At 39.3% G+C, this 27,983-nt stretch overlaps 1 long non-coding RNA gene across 1 annotated transcript; it reads right to left on the bottom strand.

Annotated features, from left to right (window-relative positions):
* Positions 1 to 1,503: 1,503 nt before the first annotated feature.
* Positions 1,504 to 27,671, bottom strand: LOC105377476 (uncharacterized). Its single transcript, XR_939316.3, has 3 exons — positions 27,468 to 27,671; positions 25,577 to 25,724; positions 1,504 to 1,982 (listed from the first exon to the last, which is right to left on the bottom strand). It is a non-coding gene; the product is annotated as an uncharacterized LOC105377476 (long non-coding RNA).
* Positions 27,672 to 27,983: the final 312 nt, after the last annotated feature.

The raw sequence follows: 27,983 nt of genomic DNA, 5'->3' as shown, positions 1-27,983 counted from the left end.
AATACACAAACATGAGAGGATTTGTCATACTATTGTTAGAGTCAAATGAAACACAACCTTGTTGTCAACTGACCAATACTTTGATTTTAGAGCTAGAAACTAGCATGAAGATTAAGGGGGTCTGGTGGTAGTAGCATCTGTAGTTGGGAGAAATCCCCTCAATAATAGAATTTTTTTTACTAAATTTTTTTAATGACTGTGCAAAAACAATTTATTTTGAGAATAAAAATATCTATGAAGTTCAAAATGCATGACAATAATACAAAAGATGAGTTGGTGGTAAATGGAGTTAAACTGGTAAAATTTCCTAGCATCATCAAGGAAATGGTATAAGCAATTATTTTATTATTTATTTATTGAATTTTTTTATTTTTCCATAAGTTATTGGGGTACAGGTGGTATTTGGTTACATGAGTAAGTTCTTTAGTGGTGATTTGTGAGATTTTGGTGCACCCATCACCTGAGCAGTATACACTGCACCATATTTGTAGTCTTTTATCTCTCGCCCCCCTCCCACTCTTCCCCCCAAGTCCCCAAAGTCCACTGTATCATTCTTATGCCTTTGCAGCTTCATAGCTTAGCTCCCACATGTCAGTGAGAACGTAGATGTTTGGTTTTCCATTCCTGAGTTACTTCACTTAGAATAATAGTCTCCAATCTCATCCAGGTCACTGAAAATGCGGTTAATTCATTCCTTTTTATGGCTGCTTAGTATTCCATCATATATATATATATATATCACAGTTTCTTTATCCACTCATTGATTGATGGACATTTGGGTTGTTTCCACAATTTTCCAGTTGTGAATTGTGCTGCTATAAACATGCGTGTGCAAGTACCTTTTAAATAATGACTTCTTTTTCTCTGGGTGGATACCCAGTAGTGGGATTGTTGGATCAAATGGCAGTTCTACTTTTCGTTCTTTAAGGAATCTGCACACTGTTTTCCACAGTGGCTGTACTAGTTTACATTCCCACCAGCAGTGTAGAAGTGTTCCCTGATGTCTGCATCCACACTGACATCTACTGTTTCTTGATTCTTTGATTATGGCCATTCTTGCAAGAGTGAGGTGGTATCACACTGTGGTTTTGATTTGCATTTCCCTGATCATTAGTGATGTTGGCATTTTCCCACATGTTTGTTGGCCATTTGTATATCTTCTTTTGAGAATTGTCTATTCATGTCCTTAGCTCACTTTTTGATGAGATTGTTTGTTTTTTTCTTAGTGATTTGTTTGAGTTCGTTGTAGATTCTGGATGTTAGTCCTTTGTCAGATGTATAGATTGTGAAGATTTTCTCCCACTCTGTGGGTCGTCTGTTTACTCTGCTGACTGTTCCTTTTGCTGTGCAAAAGCTCTTTAATTAGAGCTATTTATCTTTGTTTTTATAGCATTTGCTTTTGGGTTCTTGGTCATGAAATCCTTGCCTAAGCCAATGTCTAGAAGGGTTTTTCCAATGTTACCTTCTAGAATATTTGTAGTTTCAGGTCTTAGGTTTATGAAATATATTTACATTATTTCCTGAGCTGTCTTTTCCTTCAACTTGAAACTTCTCGCAATGGTCTGATTCATTAATGTCTTCAATTGACCACTAGATGGCAACATTGTTCTTTTATGTTGCAGCTTTGACTCCCAATAAGCAAGACAGATTTAATTTTCCAACAACCAATTTTAAAAAGTAAAAATGCAAAAGCTAGTAATTTAAATACATCACTCTGTACAATGGGAACAAGGTACAGCATATTAAATTATGATTTTTCAATTCATTTACCTAAAAAGTGTACTACACAGTATTCTATTTCTGTGCATTTTTGGATAACAGACATTTGTACCTGGTGCATTTGGAGATGGTGTGGCCTCGGCTCTTCTAGTCTTTGTGGCTACAGAGAACTGCCCAGATGTTGAAATATGTTTTCATTCAAATCATTTAACATCTCTCTTGATTTTGCAACATCCTGGAGCAGTGATTTCCAAATCTGGAAGCTAAATAAATAAATAAAATTCCAGGAACCCGTCCTCAGAGATTCTGATTTAGTAGCTCTGATGTGGGCATGGGTATCTGAGTTTTTAATAGCACCTCCATCTGCTTCTGATTATCAACAAGTTTGGAAGTGGTCTTCGTGTCCTTAATTCCTTTAGCAACAGAATCCTTCAAATAATATGAATTTTAAGTCAACTTAATTTAAAATTGCCACACTTTTTTTTTTATTTTAGCAAAATGGTCTTCATTAAAAATACTCAAATATCTCAATTACTAGAAAGTTGAATTCATTGTAAAGATAGTAGGGCTTTAACAATTGTAATTAATATTCATTCACCCTGTGTGTCTGAAAGAAAGGTGATCAGACCCACGTGTGAGTTGGGATTGATGTGATGAGAAAGATGGCTCGCACATGGGTTGCCATTCCTGTGTGTTTCTCAGAATGGGGATCCTTGCACTGGGGAGGGGTGGATTTCTGCAGGAATAATTTCAGACATTGCAGAAGGATGTGTCTCTATTGTTATTCTGTTAAATACTAGGATGTATAACATAAAATGTCATTATCATTTCGGATAATTTTGAGGGTCCCATCAGCTATGTGAAGTAGTATTTTTCTTTGTCATTTCCCATTTTCCCTCTTCTCTTTTTCTCCCTGTCACTTTCTCTTTCTCTGTGTCTGTCTCTCTCCCTTTCTCTCTCTGTCTATATATATATACACACACACACATATATACACATATGTGTTTATATACGTATATACACGCATATATACACTTATGTGTATATACACATAAGTGTATATGTATGTATATGCACTTATGTGTATATACACATATGTGTATATGTATCTATATACACATATGTGTATATACACATGTGTATATGTATGTATATACACATGTGTATATACACATGTGTATATGTATGTATATATGTGTATATGTGTGTGCATGCACTTGTGTGTATGTACACACACGTGTGTATGTGTGTGCATGCACTTGTGTGTATGTACACACGTGTGTATGTGTGTGCATGCACTTGTGTGTATGTACACACGTGTGTATGTGTGTACATACACTTGTGTGTATGTACACGTGTGTATGTGTGTACATACACTTGTGTGTATGTACACACATGTGTATGTGTGTATATACACGTATATATACATATGTGTATATGTGTGTATATACACGTATATATACATATGTGTATATGTGTGTATATACACGTATATATACGTGTATATGTGTGTATATACACGTATATATACGTGTATATGTGTATATGTGTGTATATATACACGTATATATATACGTGTATATGTGTGTATATATACACGTATATATATACGTGTATATGTGTGTATATATACACGTATATATATACGTGTATATGTGTGTATATATACACGTATATATATACGTGTATATGTGTGTATATACGTGTATATGTGTGTATATACACGTATATATACATATATACGTGTATATGTGTGTATATACACGTATATACACACATATACACGTATGTACACACATATACAGATATATATATCTAAATAAATATATATTTCTGTCATTATTTGTTCTGGATCATTATTAACTCTTTGGTTTAAGGTGATAGCTTTAGACCAATTAATCACTGTTCAAATATTATTTGCCTTGGCTCATTTGAATTAAGTGACCTCATTAGTTTTTTTTCTTTCTCTAATATTATATTTTTGTATTTAAAAATGATATGAAAATATAACGAAGACTAGTATTACAAAATAGCACTATCCTTTTCTGGTGTTAATTCATGAATGTGTATAAAGGCCCTCATAATGATAATTAAAGAGAATGGTGCTTTCTTGAATGGGTTTACAGTTAAGCTACACATAATGTTTAAACATTAAAAGCCAGTTTTATTCTCATAGAAAAAGAGTACCAGAATACCATAGCATGACTCTCCGGTTTAAAAGAGTCAAGTCTACTGATCTCCAAACTATACTTACACAGATTTTTGTTGCTAGAAGTTAAGAGTCTGGGAAAATTACTGCTTTGTCACATTCTCTTGCCTTCTTTCTTCTTGTTTCTCTAGTTTTTTAAATAAATCCTTGACTTTAAAGACAAGGAGCTTCTTATAAATTTTCTAGTTCACAAAAACCACTTCTAATTTTTAAAAGACAATTTCAAAAAAGCATGGTTAGAAAATGGAGCATGTATTGAAATGTACATTGACTTCTGAGTCAGATACACAACTTAGAGAAATTCTGTCTGGGCGGCTGCTTGATTTTCCTGTCATAGTTGGAGTCCACACTTACCACTCCCTGCATTCCAGTGATGGTCCTTGGCCATAGGAGAAGAGTAAACACAACATTCTATTTACAAGTTTTCATTTAGAGGTAGAAGTCTCTGAACCTGCCCTTGACAGCTCCCACTGAGCTGGACCAGCAGAGGGACCTGAAGCTCCGCTCATGCACCTGGGGTCAGGGATAGAAATTTGTGTGTCCAAATAAACATTTATTTTCTTAGAATTTTATTGCCTGTTTCTCCCCTTTAAAAAATGCAAGAGAATTATCTGCAGGAAAACATTCAGATTTAGATCAAAACAGAAAAATGAAGCAATGCTCTCTAGTGAGAGGGCTAAACCATACTTCTTCCCTCCTGAAAAATTGTCAGTGATTTTGATTAGCAGGAATCATTGACACTACAAATCAACCCTGTTTTAATTTTTAAAAGACACTTGAGGTGTGTTTCACAGCACATTGTGTCTGTGCAAACTAAAAAATTAAAATAAAGTAAAATTTAAAAATATTTTAAGCCCAAAAAGCAGGAAAGGGAGTACCCCTAAATTTAGAAGATGCCAGATCTTAAATACTAGAAAACCCTGTCCTGGTTTCCAAATGTTTACCCTTCTGCAAGGCTGGCCCACAGAGTACCTTCTCTCTTCAAAAGAAAATCCTGGCACCTAGAAGATTGGGCTGACAGTGAGTATTAAAATGACTTGTTTAATGAGCAGCGTGATTGAACAGGGTAGGGAATGCTGGGGAGTTTTCTCGCAAGGACTAGGTTTGGTGTTTATATTTTGTTATGTTGTGTGCTTCCACTGTCCCTTATTTTGACAAGCTATCGAAAAGTTTAAGATGAAGATGGGCAATTTAAAAAAAAAACTGATTGCTAAAAAGAACTGGTGCCTCTTCTTACCCGTCTCTAATGGAATATAGGCTGTACCACTTAAGTGAGAGAGTACTTGGCATTAATACAGCACCAAAGATTCTTGAGGTCTGTATAGTACTAATGAGCAGGGGCTGTGATAGATGTTTTATTTTTTTAAAGCATTAGGCTACCCTCCACTAAGTAAAGGCTATTTACTAAATGGTAGGCAAATTGCCGATTCTTAGGACTGGAAGGAACTGTCCTCCAGAAATCATTAACTGCATTCCACGCTTCTTCCAGGTTGGACTACATTTACAATGTTTGTGTCCTGCACTCTCTAAGATGATATTGTCTACTCTAATCTTTACTTCCTGATAGACTGGACAAATTCTGCCCCTCACCACCCAGATGATTCCATTGTTTAGGAATCTAACCTCAATTTCCCTTCCTAAATTTAAGATTATTACTTTTTTTTCTTACTAGAAAAATGGAGAACTTTTCTTTTCTTTGCCAGGACAGATATACTGACTTCTTTATGTTTTATGTTTGTCATTTTGCCTCTAAAGTTTGGACTTATTTCTCAAGGAGTTCAATCTTCTCTTTTCTGTCATTTCAAACTTTTCACCATTTCCATTTTTTTCAGGGAACAGGAAATTAAATAACTAGTAAATGTTGAATCAAAAGAAACTCAGGATGTAATATCAAAAACCATACATAGAAATATCATATAAATCTAGTATCATAAAATTTTAAATTTCATGGCTGACTAGTAGGAAGAATGTAAGTGGACAGCTTTATTCTCTTCTACTTCATAGAATTGGGCTCATCAATTTACAAAATGTCCTAGAAGCAAATAAGTGGGTGGTAAATATTCTAAAGATTCTAGCATTTATTCTTTTAAACTAAAACTTCCAGACTTTTATGGATAATATTTTATTCTTTGTGTCTTCCAGAGAAAAAGGGAGTCTATATTGTTCAAATTTACATTATCTATGTTAGAGTCATTTTCCTGAAGGCTATTTAAAGGTTGAGAAATACTGCAAATGTCTGAAAGACAAGTGTATATTTTAAAAACAGATGCATACGTGCATGGCTTTAACAGAGAAATACTAACATATATAACTAATTTTTTTTTTTTGAGACGGAGTCTCGCTCTGTCGCCCAGGCTGGAGTGCAGTGGCGCGATCTCGGCTCACTGCAAGCTCTGCCTCCTGGGTTCACGCCATTCTCCTGCCTCAGCCTCCCGAGTAGCTGGTACTACAGGCACCTGCCACCACGCCCGGCTAATTTTTTTTTGTATTTTTAGTAGAGACGGGGTTTTGCCGTGTTAGCCAGGATGGTCTCAATCTCCTGACCTCGTGATCCGCCTGCCTCGGCCTCCCAAAGTGCTGGGATTACAGGCGTGAACCACCGCGCCCAGCCCATAAATAAATAATTTTTTTAGAGATCATACTATTGCAACTAAAGAGAAAATTTGCTCTCTTTCGACCTCTCTATTCACATGGTCTAAGATTTCTTTTCATATTGCAGTAGGTGGAATGGAGTAAAATGACCACAGTAGGGCTGTAGGGAGAATGCTTCCAAGATAGTGAAACACTGATGGGTAATAATTGGTAAAAGCTCGGTTGTTTCAGGGAAAAAATTTTCATCAGGCTTGGAAATACACATGCAAATGGCACAGAGTTCCAAAATGGGCTGTTGCACCCAACACAAAAGAAGACCTGTGAGCGCATGCATGTGCAGGCATATGTATGTGTGCACGGGTTTTCTGCTGCCAAAGGCTTTATATCTTGGTGGCACCCAGATGGTGAGGAGGAAGTAGTCAGAATTGCCTTGCTTGACTAACTCTCCATTTTGATGATCAAACCCCAAACAAACCCAAAGCTTTGGTCTGGGGGCAGGGTTGTCACTTTTAAATATAACAAAATAAACTACCCTCCCTCTCCCCCCAAAAGCAGCCATTTGTAACTTGGACATAGATTCAGGGCCCATGAGAGCAGAAAGGCTCCTAGAGCTACTGAGACCAAAGCCTCCAGGTGGCGGAGGAAGCGTCAGGCCCAGGTCAGCATGTCTTTTCAGAAATTAGTCAGGAAGACTATGCTGGCAAAGGCAGCTCCTATGCAGACCTGTGTCACCCTTCTCTTCAGAGTAAGTCTCTAGTCCTTGCCTTTTCTTCTTATGGACTCTCCTTTTCCTCCCTCTTCTCAGGGGGAAAATGATCTCAAAGTCACAACATGAATATTTGCTAGGTTTGATTTTGGCAAAATTAAATAACCCCTTGGTTTAAGCCAGGCCACAGGAGAGCTGTGTGTTTTGCCTGGTGTAGGCTGGAGCCTGGTGAATTGTGCTTTCGTGTTGTGCTATTGCTTGTATTGAGAGACACTAGCAAGGGGCCTTATAAAGCCTGTTACTTTGTTCACTGTAGGGATTCTGCAGGCTGCCATCCATACAATCAGGCCATTGGCGAATGCTTTCACATAACTCATGGGAATTAATATTTTAAGTTTTATGATCTGCGAAAAATCATGTTTCTCCCCAACAATTGTGAATTTTTTCCACTATAAATTTTGTAACTGAACATTGTCTGTTTATTGCTTAGGCTGTTGGGAAGCATTTGTCTGAGCTTGCAGGTTCAGTTTCCTTATCTGTAAAATGAAGATAATAATAACGTACCTCATAGCTTTACTATGAAGAAAGATAATGGCTTTATTTTGAAGAATAAATGTTTTTTTCTACAAAGATAAAGAAGGTAAAACATGGTGCATCTTTTTTAGCCCATGGTGAATGTTTAATTAATGTCAGTTGTTATGATTTATGCATGTGACAACAATAATGTATCGGTAAGCAGTAGTGATATGTCAGGCACTCTGATAGATGCTGGAAATAAGGAGCAACCTAGACCCAGCTCGAACTCTCCAAGAGTGCATTCTCAAACAGCAAAAGCAAGCTGGTAAGTAAATAATGAAGTGTGACAGGTGCTGTGACGAGGAAGGACAGGTGGGAACATGCTTCGGGAGCACCTACTCCAGTCTGAGGAGCATGACCCAGAACTGGAGGAAGTTTAAGTGCAAGTTCAGCTGGTGGAGAGGCAGAGGAGCCTCACTGAAAAAACTGTGCAGGAAAGGACATATTTGAATTGTTGAACGAGGTCTGGTGTGACCAGAGGGCAGAGTAGCTGGTGGGGTGCTGAGACTGCCAGAGAGGTGGACAGCAGTGAGGTGCCGGGTCAGGCTAGTATTATAAGCTACACTGAGGAATTCTGACTTTATCTTATGTATAGGGGGCAGTCATTAACATGTTGAAGCAATGATAAGACCTCATCTGATTTGCTTTTTAGAGGTATCACTCAGGTATGGAGACTGAGATTAGAGGAGGGCTAGGTGGGAGTTGAGGAGATGAATTGGGCATCTCTTGAGCATTGGTGCTGGGGACTGGACTAGAGTCAGGGCATCCATCCAGCCAAAGTTCCACCTTCCACTTTCCAGCAACCATACAGGAGTGAATGGTTTGCATTTATATATATTTTGGAATATTTCCTTCAGCATTAGTTTTCTTGTCTATTTTCTTTTTTGCTCCAATTTCAGCTATTTATTATATCCTGTGTAGTGTGTGTCTTCAGGTATGCTTTAAATTCTTTTGTGAAATCAAAATGTGCAGGAAAGAAGGAATGAAAGACGGAAGAAAGAAAGGAGGAGAGAGGCTGGTGATACTCATGAGCTGGTACTCCCTTCTTTACATACATTTATTTCAAAATAACTATAAAGCATCTGTCCTAGTTTTGACCCGATTTGAGGGAAAGTCTTTATATCAGACTCTGTGTATATTTTTTACCATTAAATGCATTATAACCTTGTTGAGGATGTGACTCAGATGGTGTTACCATTGTAGGACAGATATGAGCTTTCCTCCTCTGTTAAACTTCTGACCATAATTCAAACACCTGCGTATTTAAACTGGTGCAGTCAGAACAAGTTTCTGCACTCATCACTTCTTCACCCAGCAAGGTATGTGAAAGAAGATTTGTGCAGCCAGTTGGTACTAAATTGCATAATAGGTTAACCTGAGCCCTTTGAATTCAAACAAAAGAAGTTCTCAACCTGATTGGAATTAACCTACACTGACTTTCTGCTTCATCTTTCCTAAAGTGAAGATGATACCGATCGGCAGGCGGGGAGCCTGATGGATGTTAATGGGGGGTTTTCAAGTTTGTCTTGCTTTTCTTAAACTATTAAGAAAGAACAAAAAACATTATTTAGAGTGGAATCAGTTTCCAAGAAGGGAAAAAAGAAAACTGAGAATTTATTATTAAAGAAAGAAATGGAGCCAAGGTGAAAAAAAGAAAAAAAAAAAAAGGCCTTCTCACATCTCCTGGCCAGGTGCTCCGTGCATATAAATGTTTCAAGTTAAGCTTTAAGATCAAGGGAAAGTCTGCAGGGAGCCTTGTTTCCTAGAGGTCTGCTTGCTAGAGCTGCTCCCGAATACGGGCTGCCCATTTTTATTTGGTTATTAAGGATTAAAGCAGGCGACAATTCTGGAATGGTAGTTCCTTGGTTTCCATTGACTTTGTACAAGAGAGTGAAAAGCAAGCTTCCAAGGGAGGGTTTGCATATGTATTTTGGGCTATCAGCTCGCCCCCTTCCCTGTCATCTTGTGTGTATGTTTAACATGAAATTGCCCTTCCTCTCATGAACTCACACTACAAGAAAGCTGCCTCGTTGCAACGATTGAGAATCTCTGTGCCTCTCAGAAATCCTCCTGGTTTTCACAGGAGTGTGGAGGGAAGATGAAAGGAATTTCACATTAGATTGCTGGTTGCTCCAGATACTGCAGGTTAGCAATTGCCCAGGTTCTCTGGGCTTTCAGCCTCTGAATACATGATTAGGAAGGCAACCCATCACTCTGTGTCCATATCTTTAAATTTTCCTTTTTTCTTGTTAGTTTTACAGCCTGCCCTCAAATCTAAAGCCCGTCTGAAGTTACTTTAGTAAAGTGACTAAGTTTAGTGATAAAACAACACACACCTGAAGAGAATGCCTGATCGTCCTGGTGGGTAATGGGGTCATGAGTGTCAGTTTTAGTAACAGTCGTTATAATAAAAGCAGAGATGAAGAGCTCAGCCTTCCAAAGTCACAAAATAACAGTACAATTTGCTGATTTAATCCAAGCAATGTTTTAAAAACAGAACTGGAAACTCAGAGTTTATAAAGACTTACACCCTCTGTCATCAACATTTTTCAATCCCACAGGAGCCCAGGAGGTTCAATGTATAAACTAAAAGGCTGAATATAAATAAAGTGACTTGTCCCGTGTCACATGACTGGACTAACAAATCATGGAATCTGAAATGAAAACTGTTCGGTTTCACTTCAGTATTGTAATATCCAGTGCCATTATTGTGATTTCGATGCTGCATGTTGTTCTTAATCATTGCCAGGTTTTGCAGCACGGAAGGCTGCATAACATGAATGGTGAAAGATCAACCAAAAACATGTAATTCTGGAACAGTGTCTCTTATTGTATGTTTTTTTAATTGAAATTTTTATATGCTCAGAGCCGAATTTATTTTCTATTATAACCTCATAGTTTTATGTTCATGGCTACTCAATAGCATGGTTATTTTAAAAGCAGTAATCAATAATTATATGTCCATAGTCATTATTACCTAATATGGTAATGAACACAGTTAAAGACTATAGACTTGCAGTTTCATCCAGAGGTTACGTCTATCTTCTGTTAAAATGTGAACTTCTCTTTGATGTGGAATAATAGTTGAGAAATAAAGATGGCTGGCCATGGTGGCCCACGCCTGTAATCCCAGCACTTTGGGAAGCCGAGGTGGGCAGCTCACGAAGTCAGGAGTTCGAGACCAGCCTGGCCAACATGGTGAAAACCCCGTCTCTACTAAAAATACAAAAATTAGCCAGACCTGGTGGTATGTGCCTGTAGTCCAGCTACTTGGGAGGCTGAGGCAGGAGAATTGCTTGAACCCGGGAGGCAGAGGTTGCAGTGAGCCAAGATCACGCCACTGCACTCCAACTTGGGCAACAGAGTGAGACTTCGTCTCAAAAAAATACATAAATAAAAATAAAAATAAAAATATTTCAGTGCTTAGTAATCCTGACACCTCTGTGCAGTATTTGCTCTCTCTCTCCCTCTCTACTTTCAGAACGTTCCAGAATGCTGTCTTTTGATAGTCTGTAATGCAGAAGCTGTTAGAGAAGCCTCACCCTGGGAAAGTATTCTTCAGGACAGATGGCATTCTATTTTATTTACCCTTTGATTGTATCTTAGGAAAAAGTTATCACATTTACTGGGCACAGGAATTTGGGGATGTTGAATTTGGTGATGGTCATTTGTGAGATTTGACTCACTCTGCTGCCTCCACCAGCAGTGCCTTCATATATGGGCCTTAAAGGAGAAGAGGCATGTGGCATCACTCACTCATACAGCAAGTGTTCACCCAGTTCATACTTCATCGGGGCAACTGAGCGGGTCCACAGCATCCAGCAGCCAACTAGAGAGAAGGAGGCAGTGGCTGCAAAGAGCATGGAGTCCACAGATAGAACAGAAGAAGCACACTGGGTGTGAAGGTGGCATTCTCATTAGTGGGGAAGGGTCTAGGATCACTGAAATCCTAGTGGAAACACTGAGTGGATGTGTCAAGTGAAGAATCAGTAATGTCTCAGTGTAACCATCACTTTAACTTAAATGAACGCAAAGACAACAAGCTAATTATTTTCTACTGAAATTCTTGTTTCCAGTGTGCATGTCAAAAATTTATAATAGTTACCATTGTTTGGGACCAGACTTTTTTTTCCTAAACATTATTATTTGTTGTTATAATTCAGCTTGGGTTTGAGTTGTTCGGGGATAAAATAAGAAAACAATATAAAGTGAATTAATCTAATGATCAAACCAACAACATGAAAGTTACAACATGAATGATCTAAGGAAACCCAGGTTGCAAAAGCTACCAGGGCCATTAATAGGTTTCTTATTAATTTTTTCCCCCACTCAGGAACTTCTGTGTTAGTTTATAACAGCAATTTGGATTCATAGCACTGGATGGTTTACAGAGTTCATTTCTGCACATTTTTATCTTAAGATCTTTAAACAATACTATGACTATGACCTAGAGAGTGCAGATTTTATCTCCAACATATAGAAAATAAACTGAGGCTTAGGGATACACTAAAGATAACCACTTAATGGTAGAGACTAGAACTTAACTCCAAATTCAATCTTCATTCTACTACTTTCTGCCTTCCTACTATGAATTCTAAATCAGATCTTCAAAAAATTTAAAGATGATAGCAGTCATATCCTTATATCGAGAATTTTAAACACCCAGTATGTCTAGTTTAAGTACCTATTCTGGGAGATAAGTGATCTTTAAATCACCCACTCTTTCACGCAACCCCATCTCAGAACTGAGAGTGAATTCAGGAATATTTTTCCAGCCTCGGAATAGAGAATCCTTTGGGAAAATAATTTTAATGGTTATGGATCACTAGCAAATCTTGACTGGTATTTTTTTTTTAAACCAAGCCATCTGGCAGTTGTGTCTTATTTCTTCCTGCTGTCAATGGCTGGACCCACACACATTCCAACCTCATACAAGAATGCCAATGTCTGCACATTTTCACTATGAACAGGCATTTTCAGTCAAAGCAGAGAGAAATGAGGCTCTGCCTGTCTGTGGCAATAACATTAATATTACCTCTGTACAGATGCTTTTAGAAGTATGAAGTTAAATGCAGAGCCCTGGAGATGCCTAGAAGCACACATGAGATAAGCACAGCCATTCACGGAAGACCTAAGAAACTGAGCATTTGCAGGACAAACTTTTCACCATGACAAAGTACAGCAATGTTGCGTATTCCAATATGAGACTGACAGCAGGAAATAATGACAATAAGATAAGTGTAAGATGCATTTATGATGCAGAGAGGTGGAAGATACATTTATATGTATGTATTTGGTCAGAATAAGCAAGGATATTATTAATTACCAATGTAAATTTAGCCTTGGGGAATAAAACAGCTGAAATCTGAAGGCAGCAAAGTCAGTCTGGCTACAGATAAGCTAAGAAGTGTAGATCTGAAATAAACATTCATTACAATCCCTTTGACAAGAAAAACTGTTATATTAGTGGATAGCATTTAGGAACTCAGAGGAGCAGAAGGTCAGCTTCACAACAAAAATGCCAACTGCTAAATGAATGTGCTGAGCAAAACTGGCCAGAGAGTGCCCTCACAAAGGCAGCGGTAGGGTGGGACTGGCCCCTGGGGATGCTGAAGAAAATGCTGGTGTCCAGTGGCTTATTGACCCATTTCACTCTCATTCTTTCAACTGCTGTTAAGTGAAAACAGGGTTACATGTGAGCATACACACCTGTGCATCTGTATACATGCATATTTATTTAATGCCAGCAGTCTCTTTCCTGTTTACCCTTCTAACTTCATAAACAAGAGGAGAACATTTTCTAGGCATTAAAAAAATCTGATAAAGCAGAACCACCCTAACTTATGGGAAAAGAAGAAAAGCATTTAGTCCATTGAGTCAAGCTCATGGAACCAGAAGTATGCTTGGAAATCGGCCATTAAGGATAAAGTTGAGCATTTGCAATCCAGGCACTAGATCTAAATACCTACAATTGTTTGTTCATGTCATGGACTAAATATGCAGGTTGTATTTTAACATTCATTTTGACCCCTGCATTGAATTCTGTAGATAACAAGGCTGTTTTCTATTTGTGGATCATGATAGTGGCCATCAGATGCTCTGCAATGGTGTACTTACCTAAAATGTGAGGCCATGGTCAGAATTATATAGTGTTCATCTTATTTTAAAGAGTTAAAAACTGTAGTTTTAGGAAATCAAGAGATTTTTAGGATTTTACGCATGTGCACTTGGTGAAGATTTCACTACTCTGTAATTCAGGTTTTGCTTTTTATTTTTCATGCAAATAGAACCAAGACACTATTCTCTCCACAATAAGGGAGTTAGAGACTGGAGCCCAGAAATGAGACCAAGCATAGGCTTGGTCTTGACTTTGTACCTTAGCCATGATCGGTTTATTGCATTTTATAGTTGGATCATTCCTTTATTCCATGACTGTGAAGTGTGAGGTGGAGACAACAGGATTAGTAACACATTAAGTGATTTATTCACTTCCATTAATTGCCAACTATATATGAGGAACTATGATAAGTATTAGGGATGCAGAGATGAATAAGACAAGGCCTCTGATTTAGAAGATCTCATAGTTAAATGAAGGAGGTAAATTAGCAGACAAATCATAATACAAATAGTCTAACTGAGACATGACTAAAATGTTCTGGAAATTTAGAGGAGAAAGAAACCCTGCCATTGTGAGAGGGCATTTGACTTGGGTCTTGAGTACTTTTTGAATATTTGTATTAATTCTCCCAGGAAAAATAAAGTGAGGAGCCTTCCAATCTCATGTGTCTCACAAGCCTTCTGCTAAAATGATTGAGATTTGCTTAAAGCTGGCTATATGCTACAGCAACTATATATATATTTTGTTTCTCAGTTTACAAAGTGCTTTCTAGCATGACTCTCACAAAATGCCCTTACCATGGGGATTATTCTCCCCATTTTACATGTGAGAATGCTGAGGCACTGAATGGGAAGTAACTTGCACCAGGGCCTGGATTCAAACATTGCAAATATTGGCTTTCTTCCAATTCCAAAAACTTAAATCTTTTTTCTTGTTTATATAAACAAAAAAGTGTATATATATATACACACACACACACTTTGGAGATACATATATACACACACACACACACACACACAACCTTGATTATAGAAATAACAAATTTCAACAGCATCATTTCATTAAGCTTCCCATTTAAAATGGATCCATTTCATTTATGCTTCTATTGAAGAGATGGATGTTCATCTGGTCCTGTTTCCTATTAGCTAAAAGGAACTTTGGAATTGCTCTGCTGGAAAAGCCCATGTTCCATCCAACCTAATATTGTGTTGACAACAGAGGCCTCAAGGGATTTGCCAGGGAAGGACATAGTTTTCCTCCCTGACATTAACCTTAAAGGTTAGGTGTACTCTCAGTAGCCATTTATGGCTCTGACATTCATAAATTTGGTCAAAACCTTTATGAATCCATTTATATTCCTTGCCTGTACCTCTTTTGTGATAATGAGCTCCATACGTTTATTATTTTCTTTGTAAAGTAATACTTCCTTTTATTGGTCCTTAACTCACCTCACTCAAGTTTCAAGGGGGTCCTCTACTTCCAGTGAGAAATTGAGGATTAGTAGAATAACTGTGCTGTGTTCAGTTTACAAATGATCTCCAAAATTCTCCGGGTTTATTTTATTTTTGTCTAAAGCAAGAATAAATAAACTGTACATTATATTTTTATTGTAGAGAGACCAATATTTTATTTAAAGATGAAGATTCTGCCTAGTGGCATATTTTTAGTATACTTTTTGATGCTGCTAAAATTTGCTCTAGAAAAATAACCTCATTTTGGTATTTGTAATACACATTTTGCATGTCGAAGGCAGCTCCAATCTGGCTATGGGGAAAGCTTGAGGTAATTTTTGTTGTCTTCTACAACCACTTTTGAAGAGTAAGTATATTGCATATTATGTATATTTGATAACTGATTATAATGGATGATTATAATGGATGTATGAGAGAATATCATGAAGTAGTAGAAGAATGCTGTCCTAGGTGTCAAAGACCTGGTGTTCTAAAACCATTTCTGGACTGTAGATTTCAAGCTTATGAGATTAGGGATTAAATTAGGTAATTTTCAAGATTACTTTGTACTTTAAAATTGTAAGTCCTTGATTTCCTTAGCCATTCACTTGGTGACTTTAACAGAACACAGCCAATCCTAGCTTCTCTAAGCCTCGGCAGCCATCTCCTGATTCTATCACGATTCATTTGCTCTCAGTACTATTGAAGGCTTGTAGATATTTCTTATTTCCCACTCCAGGGATCTCAGTAAATGAAAAAATTATAATTTCCTCACTCTACCCCCTTACACAGATAATTACCTTTCCTACAGATTTTTCTCAAGTGGTGGGTTTATTTTAGGCTCCCCAAGCTTTTCTTGTTTGGAGGTAGGGCTTAAAGGCCTCTTCTGGATCTCTTCTGTTCTAAGTGGTCACCCTTATATTTGATCAGTACCATCCTTTAGAACTCACTACAAACAAAAGTAAATATTCACCAAAGCCTCTTCATTTTCATCTTTCAATTTGCTCAGAATCTTGAGGCTGATGGCTTTCGTCCCAACTACATTTGTTTGTTGACTTGGGTTAAAATTTTTTTCAGCATTGGCCACTTACTAGTTTTGCCATGAGAAGTAGACATTTAATAAGAATTATTTTATTTGCATTTTTTTCAAATGGTGAGTACAGGGTTGCAAAGTTCTCAGCCATTTTTTTTTTTTTTTTTTTTTTTTTTGAGACGGAGTCTCGCTCTGTCTCCCAGGCTGGAGTGCAGTGGGGCAATCTCGGCTCACTGCAAGCTCTGCCTCCCGGGTTCATGCTATTCTCCTGCCTCAGCCTCCTGAGTAGCTGGGACTACAGGCGGCCACCACCATGCCCGGCTAATTTTCTGTATTTTTAGTAGAGATGGGGTTTCACTGTGTTAGCCAGGATGGTCTTGATCTCCTGACCTCGTGATCCGCCTGCCTCGGCCTCCCAAAGTGCTGGGATTACAGGCATGAGCCACCATGCCAGCAGTTCTCAGCCATTTGAATACAACATCACTCTGCTCATCAAACGAACACTCACTCCTTACACACCCGTTTATGACCAGGTCTCCGCTTGCTCTACCCAGACACAGTGACACTTCAAGCACACAGTTCATGGCGTGGTGAAAGCATGTGAACTTACAGGTTTAACAGTCACATCTGTAAAATGGAGCCAGTGATGCCCACATCATGGGATTGTGCTGGGCCCTAAATGAGGAATGCATGTCATACCTCGGACACATAGAGGAAATTTAGGTGTATGACTGTTGGCTTTTTTCCTGTTATTTTCTAGTTCTCTAATTAAGCCATCCAACAATTCAAATTGGAATAGACCACTGTATCAGAGGTGTATTAAAGCAATAGGACACTGACTCCCCGAAAAACATTGTTTATAAATAGAGAAACACTGTGGTCTGTGAAAACTGAAGTGAATTGAATGTGTCTTGTAAAGTTGACCAGGCTGATTGTCATTGTTTTGAGAAAAGTTTTTCCTGCTCACATTGGCTCTAGTTGTTATCAGATGCTGTGTTGCTATGCTGTTCATACTTTGCTGTGTGGCTGATATTAACCACAATGATCTGGGTCTTTCTCTTAGATAGCCTATTTTAGTAGGCTATAAAGCTTTATCTGTCCAGGTCTGAAATCAGGGCCCCTGCTCCTTAAATGATTTTCTCTGACAGTTGAGTAGCTCTCTCAGCCTCTTTGTGCTGTCAGAGAGTTACTGTCATGAGCGAGTTGATTTCTGCCACCTGCCCTGCAATAGTCCTTAAAGGAGTTTTTTTTTCTGTTTACCACCCAGTACTGCACCTCTATGTTCCCTTGATCCCACTAAGTAGAGGGATGAGGAGGCTGGAAATAAAACCAAAAAGGAATATAAATCCTGGAAATATTATTTGAAAATCCTAGTTGTAGATAGGGTAATGTTTAATAAAATGGCTCACTTTTGGTATCTCTAAAATTAAAAAAATTGTAACAATTTAAACATGTTAATCAGACAAAAATGAGTGACTTTATTTTAGAAGAGCAGGCTGTGTATTTATTCGTAAAGATACTTCATTAATCCTAGAGGATTAATAAAGTTGATTTTTAAAAGTTCAAATACTGCTTTGAAGTACCTAATAGAAGGTACTTGGTAGACATTGGAGACTATAATGATGAATAAAACAAAAGTTCTGTCTTTGTTTCATTTAAATATATAGCATCATTTTTAGCTTAGATTAATGCTTAATCTAGGTGGATTTTGAACGAATCACATTGTATCCTGGTGAATTTCTGATGAGAGTGCACAGGGAAGAGGGAATGGGTAAAACAGCTGCACTTACTTTCATAGTGACTTGACTACAGGGTAAATACAGCTATTTTCATTATAAAGCCTTTTGGCAGCAAACAACAGAACAGTTATTTACCAGGTTAGAGAAAGGGGGTTCTTTTTCTCATGTAGCAGAATGGTGCAGCTGCCTATGGTCAGAAGAGATGCTTCACAGTCCCTAGAAGGGGCTGCAGCTCTAAGTACCAGCTTCAGGCGATGTCCACACTCAAAGCAGGAAGAAGGGCACAGAGGCCAGCACAAGAAACATCTGTCTTTCATATCAGGACAGCAAATACTTTCCCAGAATCCCCCAGAAAAAAAAAATCTTAGGTACTATTGGACAGAAATAGGTGACATGCCACATGCTTCAAAGGAAGCCGGGAAAGTGAGTGTTCAGTTTTACCAGCTTCTAAGAGGCAGAAGAAGGGAGTTGAGAATGGAAATTGGGCTAGTCAACTTACAATGTCTGCCATAATGTTTTAAACATAAGAGCCCCAAATCAATTCTTCCCAAAGCCCGAGGGAGAGAGAGCAAAAAGCAAACACAATTGGAGAGGAGAGCACTGCTCTGTCACATTGGCCTGTCAGCTGCTGGTGAGGTGCTTCTCTTCTAATTTCTACAATTGTTTTAAGGAGAAAAATTTCCACCTGGTTTTACTATGTCAAGTTCTCCAGAATCTCTTTGCCTTTTTATAATTTTCCATGCAAACAGAAGAGTGGCCAAAAGACCTGGCATTTGGCAGGTGAGAGAAAAGCCGTTAAGTTACCCTTTGTCTTAAATATGAAATATCCTCCTTGAGTCGTATCCCATGGTGCTGGGAAGTCTGAACCCTTCCCACATACACCAAGCTGGGCTCACATGGCTTTTCTAGAAGTGGTCCATTTCCCATCTCGCAGTATTTATAACCCTCTCTTTGAGAAGAAAATGGGCTTTACTAGGAAGTCATATTAAGATAGAGAATTCAGGCAGCCCCAGTAGTAAAAAGTAAGGACATAATTTAACTTCATTTGGTTGAAAAGACAAATGCAGATAAAAGCAGTAGACAGGAGCCAAATGCCTTGGCACAGGAAGCAGGCAGACAATGAACTTGGCCCTTTGCCACAGGAGCCATTCACGTCTGCTGAGGGCCTGGTTCTGAGCAGCGGCGAGTGCCCACTGAGGGTCTCTGCCCAGTGCTGTGTGTGGAAGCGAAGTACTGAATGAAACTACTGGGGAAGTGGGGGCAGGCAGAAAAGCTGCAAGAGCGTGAGAAAGCCAACTGGCGGGGAGGGAGGCCCCAAGTCTGCAAGAGCTACACAGTCAAAAATAGCCTCGGGCCACGGTGCTCGGGAAACTTTGCAGATATGCCCTTTGCTTTCAGAAAGAAAATGCAGAATGCTGTTGTCCGTCTTAGGAGTGAAACATTATGTTTTAACTAGAAAATGTCTTCATTAGAAGTACCTGGAAGAACGCTGTTGACACTGCCTGGGTTCTCTGTGGCGTTTTGCTGGAACAGTGTCACACTTCCTGAGCTTCAGATCAATTCATTAAACGTTGGCTGAGTGTATGTTATGAGGCAGGCACTCTGCTAGTTTCTGAGTTTAACAAGATGAAAAAGGTAAGGTGCAACCCTGGAGTGGCTTGCACTGTAACTGGAGGCGCTTTTGTCCTCCAGGGAACGTTTGGCAATGTCTGGAGACATTTTTGATTGTCACAATTTGGAGTGATGCTACTAGAATCTAGTGGGCAGAGGTCGGATATGCTGCGAAGCATCCTATGATACCCGGAACAGCCCGCCCCTGCCACTACAAAGAATTAACCGGCCTCAAATGTCAATAGTGCTGAGGCTGAGAAACCCTGCACTATAGTGAAGATACATGTGGAAAAATAAAAATAGTACAATTGTAGAAGTGTGGATAAGATGAAGTGTCTGAAAGACAGGACTTATAAATTCTATCCAAGGAATCTGTGAATGATATGAAAGTGATGTAAGGTCTTCAGTGAGTGTTGAAGAATGCTCAGGAGTTCACCAGAAGATTAAGAGGAGAGAGAACTCCTTATGGGATTACCTAAGCAAGAGAGGATAAGACTGTGGGCAGAAGCATTTCCAAATCAGAAAGACTTCAGATTGCACAATGTGAACAGTAGGAAGTGCTGGGAAGCAATTTGGAAGGGGATAGGCAAGATCATATTATTAATGGCCTGGGAAGCCAGTCTAAGGAGCTAGAACTCAGTTATATAACTGATGGGGAAAGATTGAAGAACTACAAAGTAATGTAACCAAAATTTTAGGTAAAATAATCCATATAGAAGTAACAAACTGCTTTTCTCTGTTCTTACACTCAACACAGAACATGTCTGTTACCAAATGTGTGGGTGCTTCTCCCACACCAAGAAATTCTCCAATTATCTGTGGATACCAACTGGTGTCCTACAATTTATCTCAATTCTGAAACTATGTACCTGGAGGTAGCATCAAATCAAGGGCTTGGTCCCATGGGGTGCCTCCGCTCCAGACGCCAATCACAAGTAGTGAGTGAGTACCTAGGTTACCCACAACTTCTGTCCAACTTGGCTACAAATTGGTGGCTCCCATGACCTTTCTCAAGTTTGATAATGTGCTAGAATGGATCATGGAATCCAGGAAAATGGCTTACTTACTAGGTTACCATTTTATTACAAAGACTACTTTAAAGGATACAAATGAACAGCCAGATAAAGAGATACACAGGGCAAGGTCCTGGAAGGTCTTGAGCACTGGGGCTTCTGTCCCTGTGGATCTTGGGATGCACCATGCTCCCAGCATGTGGATGTGTTGCTGTTAACCACCTGGAAGTTCTCTGAACCCTGCCCTTCTGGTTTTTATACAGGCTTCCTTACATAGGCATGATTGATTAAATCATTGGCCATTGGTGATCACCTCAACCTTCAGCCCTCCTCTGCTCCCTAGAGATTGAGGGGTGGGGTGGGAGGTAGCATGGGGCTGAAAGTTCCAACTGTGTAATCACTTGGTTGGTTCTCCTGGCACCCAGCCCCCATCTTGAGGCTATTCAGGAGCCCCGCCACCAGCCATCCCATTAGCACATGAAAAGACACCTATCACTTGGTTTTAGGAACTGTCTACTAGGAAAGGGAGGCGGAGACAAAACCTGTATTTCTTATTATTACACAGATAAATAACTATTACATTTTGAATTATTTTGAAAAGGATTTGAGAGGCCCCGTTACCTAGTCATTAGCATTCTACCAGCTCTTTCTCAGCTCATCACACAAAGGCACATCTTTGATGATATGTCCCCAGAATCATCTATGGTGCTGTAGACTGACTTTATGGAAGAGACGTTGCTTGGTGATCAATAGAGAGGCCTGGTCTAGATAGGAAAGTAAAACCAAGAAAGGTTTCATTACTTGACAAAATGTGGAGGCACTGAGAGCTTAGAGATGTGTACGAAGCCAAAAATAAAAAACAAAAAACAAAAAGAGACAAGTTTGGCAGGAAAAAGACCATGAGAAAAATGTAGGATTGGAGATTGTGTCTAGGGAGTGGAATGTAAGTATTCTGATATAGAGCAGATCAGGTGAGATAGGTGAGTAAGATACCTAAATACCAGTGAATGAAGTAGAAAGCAGTTGTTGGCACTGAGTGTGAAGAGAACAATCAGTCCTTGGGCTGGGGAGTTGGGCAGCTTATTCATGTGATCATAAAAGATGCCAGAGATGAGGGCAGGACTTGAGGTGAAAATGATGAGTGCAAAGCAGGTGTCAAGTGTGTCCATAAATATGATGGAAAACATCTCATACATTAACCATGAATATGCTGGAAGACAGCAGTGATGAGGGAGGGTAGAAGCTATCCAATGGCTTAACTGGCAGAGTGAGAGGGAGTTTTGCAACATATTGGGGAGTAATTCCCTGGAAATAGCAATAGGGAGCTAGAGAATGCCAACTTAGTACTGTTGCAGGACTTTTCCTTAGTTCAGCTACAGATGGAGTCCTTGTCCATCCCATGCCACAAAAATATAGGCTTGCAGACAGTTTGAAGTGTGAGTAAAGCAGGGTTTTATTGGGTGAAAAGGAAAAAGCAGGGAACAGGGACCCTCTGCAAAGCCAGAGTCCCCTGCTCCTGTGCTTCCCGCCTCGCAGTTTGAATCCCAGTTTCCACACAGGAAGAGGAGGGGCCAAGCTTTTCCCCCTGCTGCAAAAGGCTCAAACTTCCCAAGACTCCACCCTAGTGTACAGGCTGGCTGGAGTTTTGCCAGGGAGCCCCTCCCACCTGGCTGTCTCAGTGAAGTGATGAATTGCCCTTGAGAGAGCCACATGTAAAGCCATGTCTTCAAGACAGTGCTAGAAGCAGAGAGAGGCTGTTTGGTGAAGAAAATAAAGATGTTGGGAAGTTTCTTTAGCATGGAATGGGAGTTCCAGACATCACAGTTAGGAGATTTTTCAACAATCAGAATGGGAGCAACAGATGGGATGTATTAGTTTGCTGTGGCTTCCATAACAAAATAAAAATGCCACCAACTGGGAGGCTTAAACAACAGAAATTTATTGTCTTACAGTTCTGAAAGCTAGAAATTTGAGAAGAAAATGTCTGCAGAATTGGTTCCTTCTGAGAACTGTGAAGGAGAACCTGTTCTAGGTCTCTGTCCTAGCTTCTGGTGTTTTGCTGGCCATCTTTGGTGTTAGTTGGCTTGTAGATGCACCCTTCTGATCTATGACTTCTCACCTTTGCATGACCTTCTCCTTGTGTCTCTCTCTCTACCTGGAGTTCTTTTTAGGAGCACGCTAGTCATATTGAATTAGGGGCCCACCCTACTCCAGTATGACCTCATCTTAACCAATTGCATTAGCAACAATCCTATTTCCAAATGAGGCCACATTCTGAGGGTTAGGACTTCAACATATCTTTTCTGGAAGAACACATTTTAACCCATAATATGGGGTAAGAGAAGCAAAACACCCAATTGGAAAAGACACAGAGAGGAAAGATGGCTAGAGAGGTTTCCACTTTGGCCAATGATCAAGAATGACAGGTGTATGAGACTCAGTAGAATGAGTCAGTCCTAAGTCTCCAAATCTATCTCAAATGGCAAGGTCAGGTACAGTTGGGATGGACCAATGCTCATTCTGGGGCAGCTGGCTTGACACTGCCCAACTCTAAGGGGCACCTCTTATAGAAAGAGCCACATAGATTACTGTGTGACTGGAGCTCTCTGTTGACCAACTCTAGGCTGTAGCTCACTGTACATGCCTCAGACCATGGGAGAGGAAGTTTGCAACAGGCCAGTGAATTGGGAAAAATCTTAGTATGAATTATGTTGTATACTATATTTTTAAGGCTTTTGAGAGGGCTTCCTCTCTGAGCAAAACACCTTGAGACTAGGATCCATATCTTCTCATTTATAGATATCTCCTTCAGTGCCTTAAAGTCTGATGCAGTAAGTACTCATAAATAAATAATAATGCAATAAGTACTCATAAATAAATAAATAAATGAAGAATTAATTTCTAGTGGTAATAGTGTAGTTACACTTAGTTAAGAGTGGATTCATAGGGAAATGTTTGGAATTGAAAGATTCAATTCTTGGAAAATAGCCCAAGATGTCTGAGAATATGAGACACATTTCTGAAGGACACAATGTGTCTGTGATTTAGGCTTTAGCAGTTAACTATAACACATTCCTTTGCCTTATAGAGTCAACTTCCAAAAGCATTTTCTACTTGAGTGTTTTTCTAAGAGGTTTCAAACACTTTTATCAGAAAGATGTTCAAAGACAAGTATTCTGGGAGGCCACATTTTGGATTTGGGGGGCTTTGTTTTTTCTTTTTTTGTCATTTTAAGTTTTATAATTCAGTTTTGCCCAGCTGCACAAGAAATTTGTTTTTGCATCATTCTTCAAATGCGGGAAATTCAAATGCCTATATAATAGAAGCTCATGGTGGATAAGAAATGTGATAAACATTATCAAATTAATCCTAAAAGTCTTACAAACCATTTGGTTGAATTTATGCAGATTGTATGAGAAATGGGAAAGGAAAATGCTCTTGGATGACATATTCTAGAAATTGAAATGTGATATTTGTCTAGAAGATTAAAATTACGCAGCAGTTAGGGCAGTCCTAGTTGTGGAGTAAGCAGCAATTCCAAATTAAAGTGGCTGAACTTATTGTCTCATATGACAACTAAAAGCTAGGGCTCTTACTGAAATGATGGATTCCACAGCTTAGGGGCATCCCCGTGGATCCAGGTTCTTTTAGTCTTTGTGCTGCACCTTCCACCACTTGTCAAGAAATTTCTTTATGGTCACGGGATGGCTGTAGCAGCTCTAGGCATTACTTTTATTCATTTATTTCACAATTGTTCATTGAGTGAATATTATGTGCTAAGGTTGTAGGTACTGAAAATACAGTGGGACTGAGTGGACCCAGTGGAATAAGCTGGCTATAAGTTTCCAGATAGATCTCCTGCTCTGTTATTAGATAAGAAACAAATTATCTGCCTTCATCAAGTTACACTTTAAAGAAAACAGAGGCTCAAAAAAGGAGAGGGGGTGATACATATATTTCAAGTAGTGAAAAGTGCTGTGAAGAACAATATTGCTGTGCAAGGTAAAATAGTGTTGAAGGAGGTGTTCCTTTTTTTTTTTTTTTTTCTTTTTCTTTTTTTGGAGGCAGAGTCTCACTCTATCACCCAGGCTGGAGTGCAGTGGTGTGATCACAGCTCACTGCAGCCTTGAACTCCTGGGCCCAAGTGATCCTCCCACCCTAGCCTCCCAATTGGCTGGGACCACAGGAGCATGCCACCATGCCTGGCTAACTTTTGTATTTTTTTGTAGGGACAAAGTTTCTCCATGTTGCCCAGACAGGTCTTGAGCTTCTGGGTTCAAGTGATCCTCCTGCCTTGGCCTCCCAATGTGCTGGGATTCGCGGTGTGAGCCATCGAGCCTGGCTGGAGCTGTTACTTTATAAATAGTTATCAGAGAATTCTTCTTTGGCCTACAAGGTAAGACCTAAATGAAGGAGGGGAGTACACTGTGGGAACTTCTGGAGAAGAGAGCTTCCAGACAAGTTCAAAGCCCCAAGGGTAGGGACATGTTTGATGTATTTGGGAAACAGCAAGGAAGTAAACATGGCTGGAAAGGCGTGACCAAGGAAATTGGCAAGAAATGAGATCTCAGAGGTGGTACATTGGATCAGAAGGACCGTCTAGCCATGATTAGAATCTTGAATTTTCTCATAATGTGGGAAGTGTTTGGAGAGTTCTGAGCGGTGGGTGATATGATTGCTGTTTAAAAGGGACACTGGAGGGATATTCTCTTTTTCCCTGTCTGAGGATATTGATGTGTGAGGCTATCAGTATATCCTGAATCTGACTACTTCTCACTCCCCAACCACTATAAGTCAGTTGTCTCTCACCTGGACTGCTTCAGTGGACTCCTAAGCACATTCCATATTTCCGCATTGACCCTCTTACAGCGAGTTCTCCAGAAAGCCTCCTTTATGTAAGTTCTCTTTCTTCTTTCTCTGGGATTTGCAGCCATGCTTTTGTGGGAGTTCAGTCAGGCTGGTGGGAAAAATTTTAAGATGAAGTTATAGGAAATAAACACAAACCCTCTTGGAAGGCCTGGAGGTTTGCATAAAGTGTTTGGCTGAAGGCAGCTGAATCCACTTAATAGCTTAGGCCATAGATACATAGGAATGTAGAGGAGTTTATCCAAAGAGCTCGTTTACTTATGTGGTCCTAAAACTAACCTTTGATCACTCACAGGCAGGATGGCTCTCCCGGGGTGGGGACAACCAAATTAATTACACACAGATGTGTTGACTCAAAGCCTTTGTCATTAAAACTGTGCTAAATAAATGCCTGCAGGGCCAGCTAGTCGGGCCATGGCTGCTGACTCTTTACAGCACCTTCCTTGGTGTCTGTGAGCGGCTTGGACCCCTAGCTGCTCTTTCAGTGAATATCGGTGTCTGGGTACATTATTCATCTGTCGTGTGAGCTGGGGTCCCCCCCAGGCTTTGACTATGTTTTGGGGGTCTTACAGGATATTTACCTGAAAGACTATACCTTGGCCCCTGGCATTGTGATCAGTGTTCCTGCAGGGTTTGCATTAGATACTCACGCATCCTCTTTTCAATCAATTTTGGTTTGGGGTTTTTCTTGGCCACCTCATTAATAAGGTGTCGTTGAAGTACATACTACCCACCCCTCAGAGGAATTCTTGACAGTTGTCTCCAAATTAATTACTTACTGTGTACCTTCTCAGCTTTCCTGGATTTCAACTATATTTTCTTTGCTTCTAGGATTTTGAAATGTCTTTTTGAAAATATCCTTTTGAAATATCTCAAAAGGGTCAATACTGCTATTTTAGAATGAGTAGTGTTTTTTCTTTTGCAGGGGGAAGAGTATGTAATTACTGGTCAACATGAGGAACAAAATGAAGTGCATTTTAACCAGGCCAAAATTTTTTCTTTTCTTTTTTCTTTTTTTTTTTTAAATAAAGAACTTCTTGCCTTCTAGGGTATAAAGGCTTTTGTATTCCTTCAAGCAGAGAACAATCAAGTGCCTTGGTCATTTAGATATTCACCAGGCAGAATAATTTAGGTATCATTGTCTGAAACCAGTGGTCTTCAATCTTTCTTCTACTTTGGGTTAGAGTTCTGAGTGATGGCTGTAGGCTCCCAGGACATTATTCTCTCTCTTAGAATGAGCACAAGCCTAGAATCTTCCAAGTCAGGGAAACCTAATTCCATTAGGTTTATGATTGCTAGTGGAATTCAGTTTTTGATATGATAATTCTTGTTATCGCTGATGGGAGAAAATTATCTAAATACGTTAAAAGGTATTTGGCAAGCTTTTTCTTCTACTCAATTATTCGTATTGGTTAATCAAGAATATATAAAAAGATTTATATAATCATGTTTATATTTTGTTATAAAGTTTTTGATGAATACTTTAAATTTTCTTCATAAAACTAATTATGCCAACTCATTTACTTTTGCTTGGGTAAGTTCTTTCTGTAATGTTGAATATAACCACTAATCCCAACTGTCACTTATGACAAATTAGGGCTTCCAGGCCCACAAATGCAGATCCTGCAGGTCACGTGCCCCAGAGATGGAAAATGTGATTTCTCCCAGGGGCCAGATATACAGACCATTATATCGTCTCACGCTCTGAGAAAGTCTCCCCTCTCCACATTTACCGTGCATCCTCTGACTGCAGAGCATCTTTATCTCTGACCTCTAAGCAGGGTCACTCTTGTAACAGCTGAGAGAAAGCTTTCAGGAATGAATGAGTGCTCACAGAAATCAGGTAGCATGCTCCGTCCAGCATGGTGATCATTTCTGACAATGCTGATCGAGAGGCTTCTTCTGCAGTCCATTGATTTCAGTGTCAGGCAGATGAAAAGTAGCATATTGATGAGACTTTGCCAAAGGTGTCTTGTCAGATAAAAGACCAATAGAGGAAGCCAACTTAAGACAGGCCATCGCATCAATTTTCTTGGTGCTGAAGGAAAGAGAATGAACTGTGATGCTGAAACTAATCGATGACTGTAAAGATACTCTTAAACTCATACAATAAATTGTTTTGATTTACAAAAAAAAAGAGAAGAGTGATCTACAAAAAGGATAAAGGAAAATAGGCCACATAAGGTGAAGTAAATGATTTTCATTTGCAGCAATAGTGAAGTTACAACTGAGACTTTTTTTTAATATTTACCTGTACTAAAGGCTTTTCTGTAGAGCAGGATTGTGTAAAATATCTTGTGCAATGTTTTTTGACTTTTCAGTATTGGCTTCTAGAACTCAAAGTTGAGAG

This window comes from Homo sapiens, chromosome 4 (genome assembly GCF_000001405.40).
Source record: "Homo sapiens chromosome 4, GRCh38.p14 Primary Assembly".
Lineage (NCBI taxonomy): Eukaryota > Metazoa > Chordata > Mammalia > Primates > Hominidae > Homo > Homo sapiens.
The sequence above is the reverse complement of the archived record's forward strand: the minus strand, read 5'-3'. Positions and strand labels throughout refer to the sequence as shown.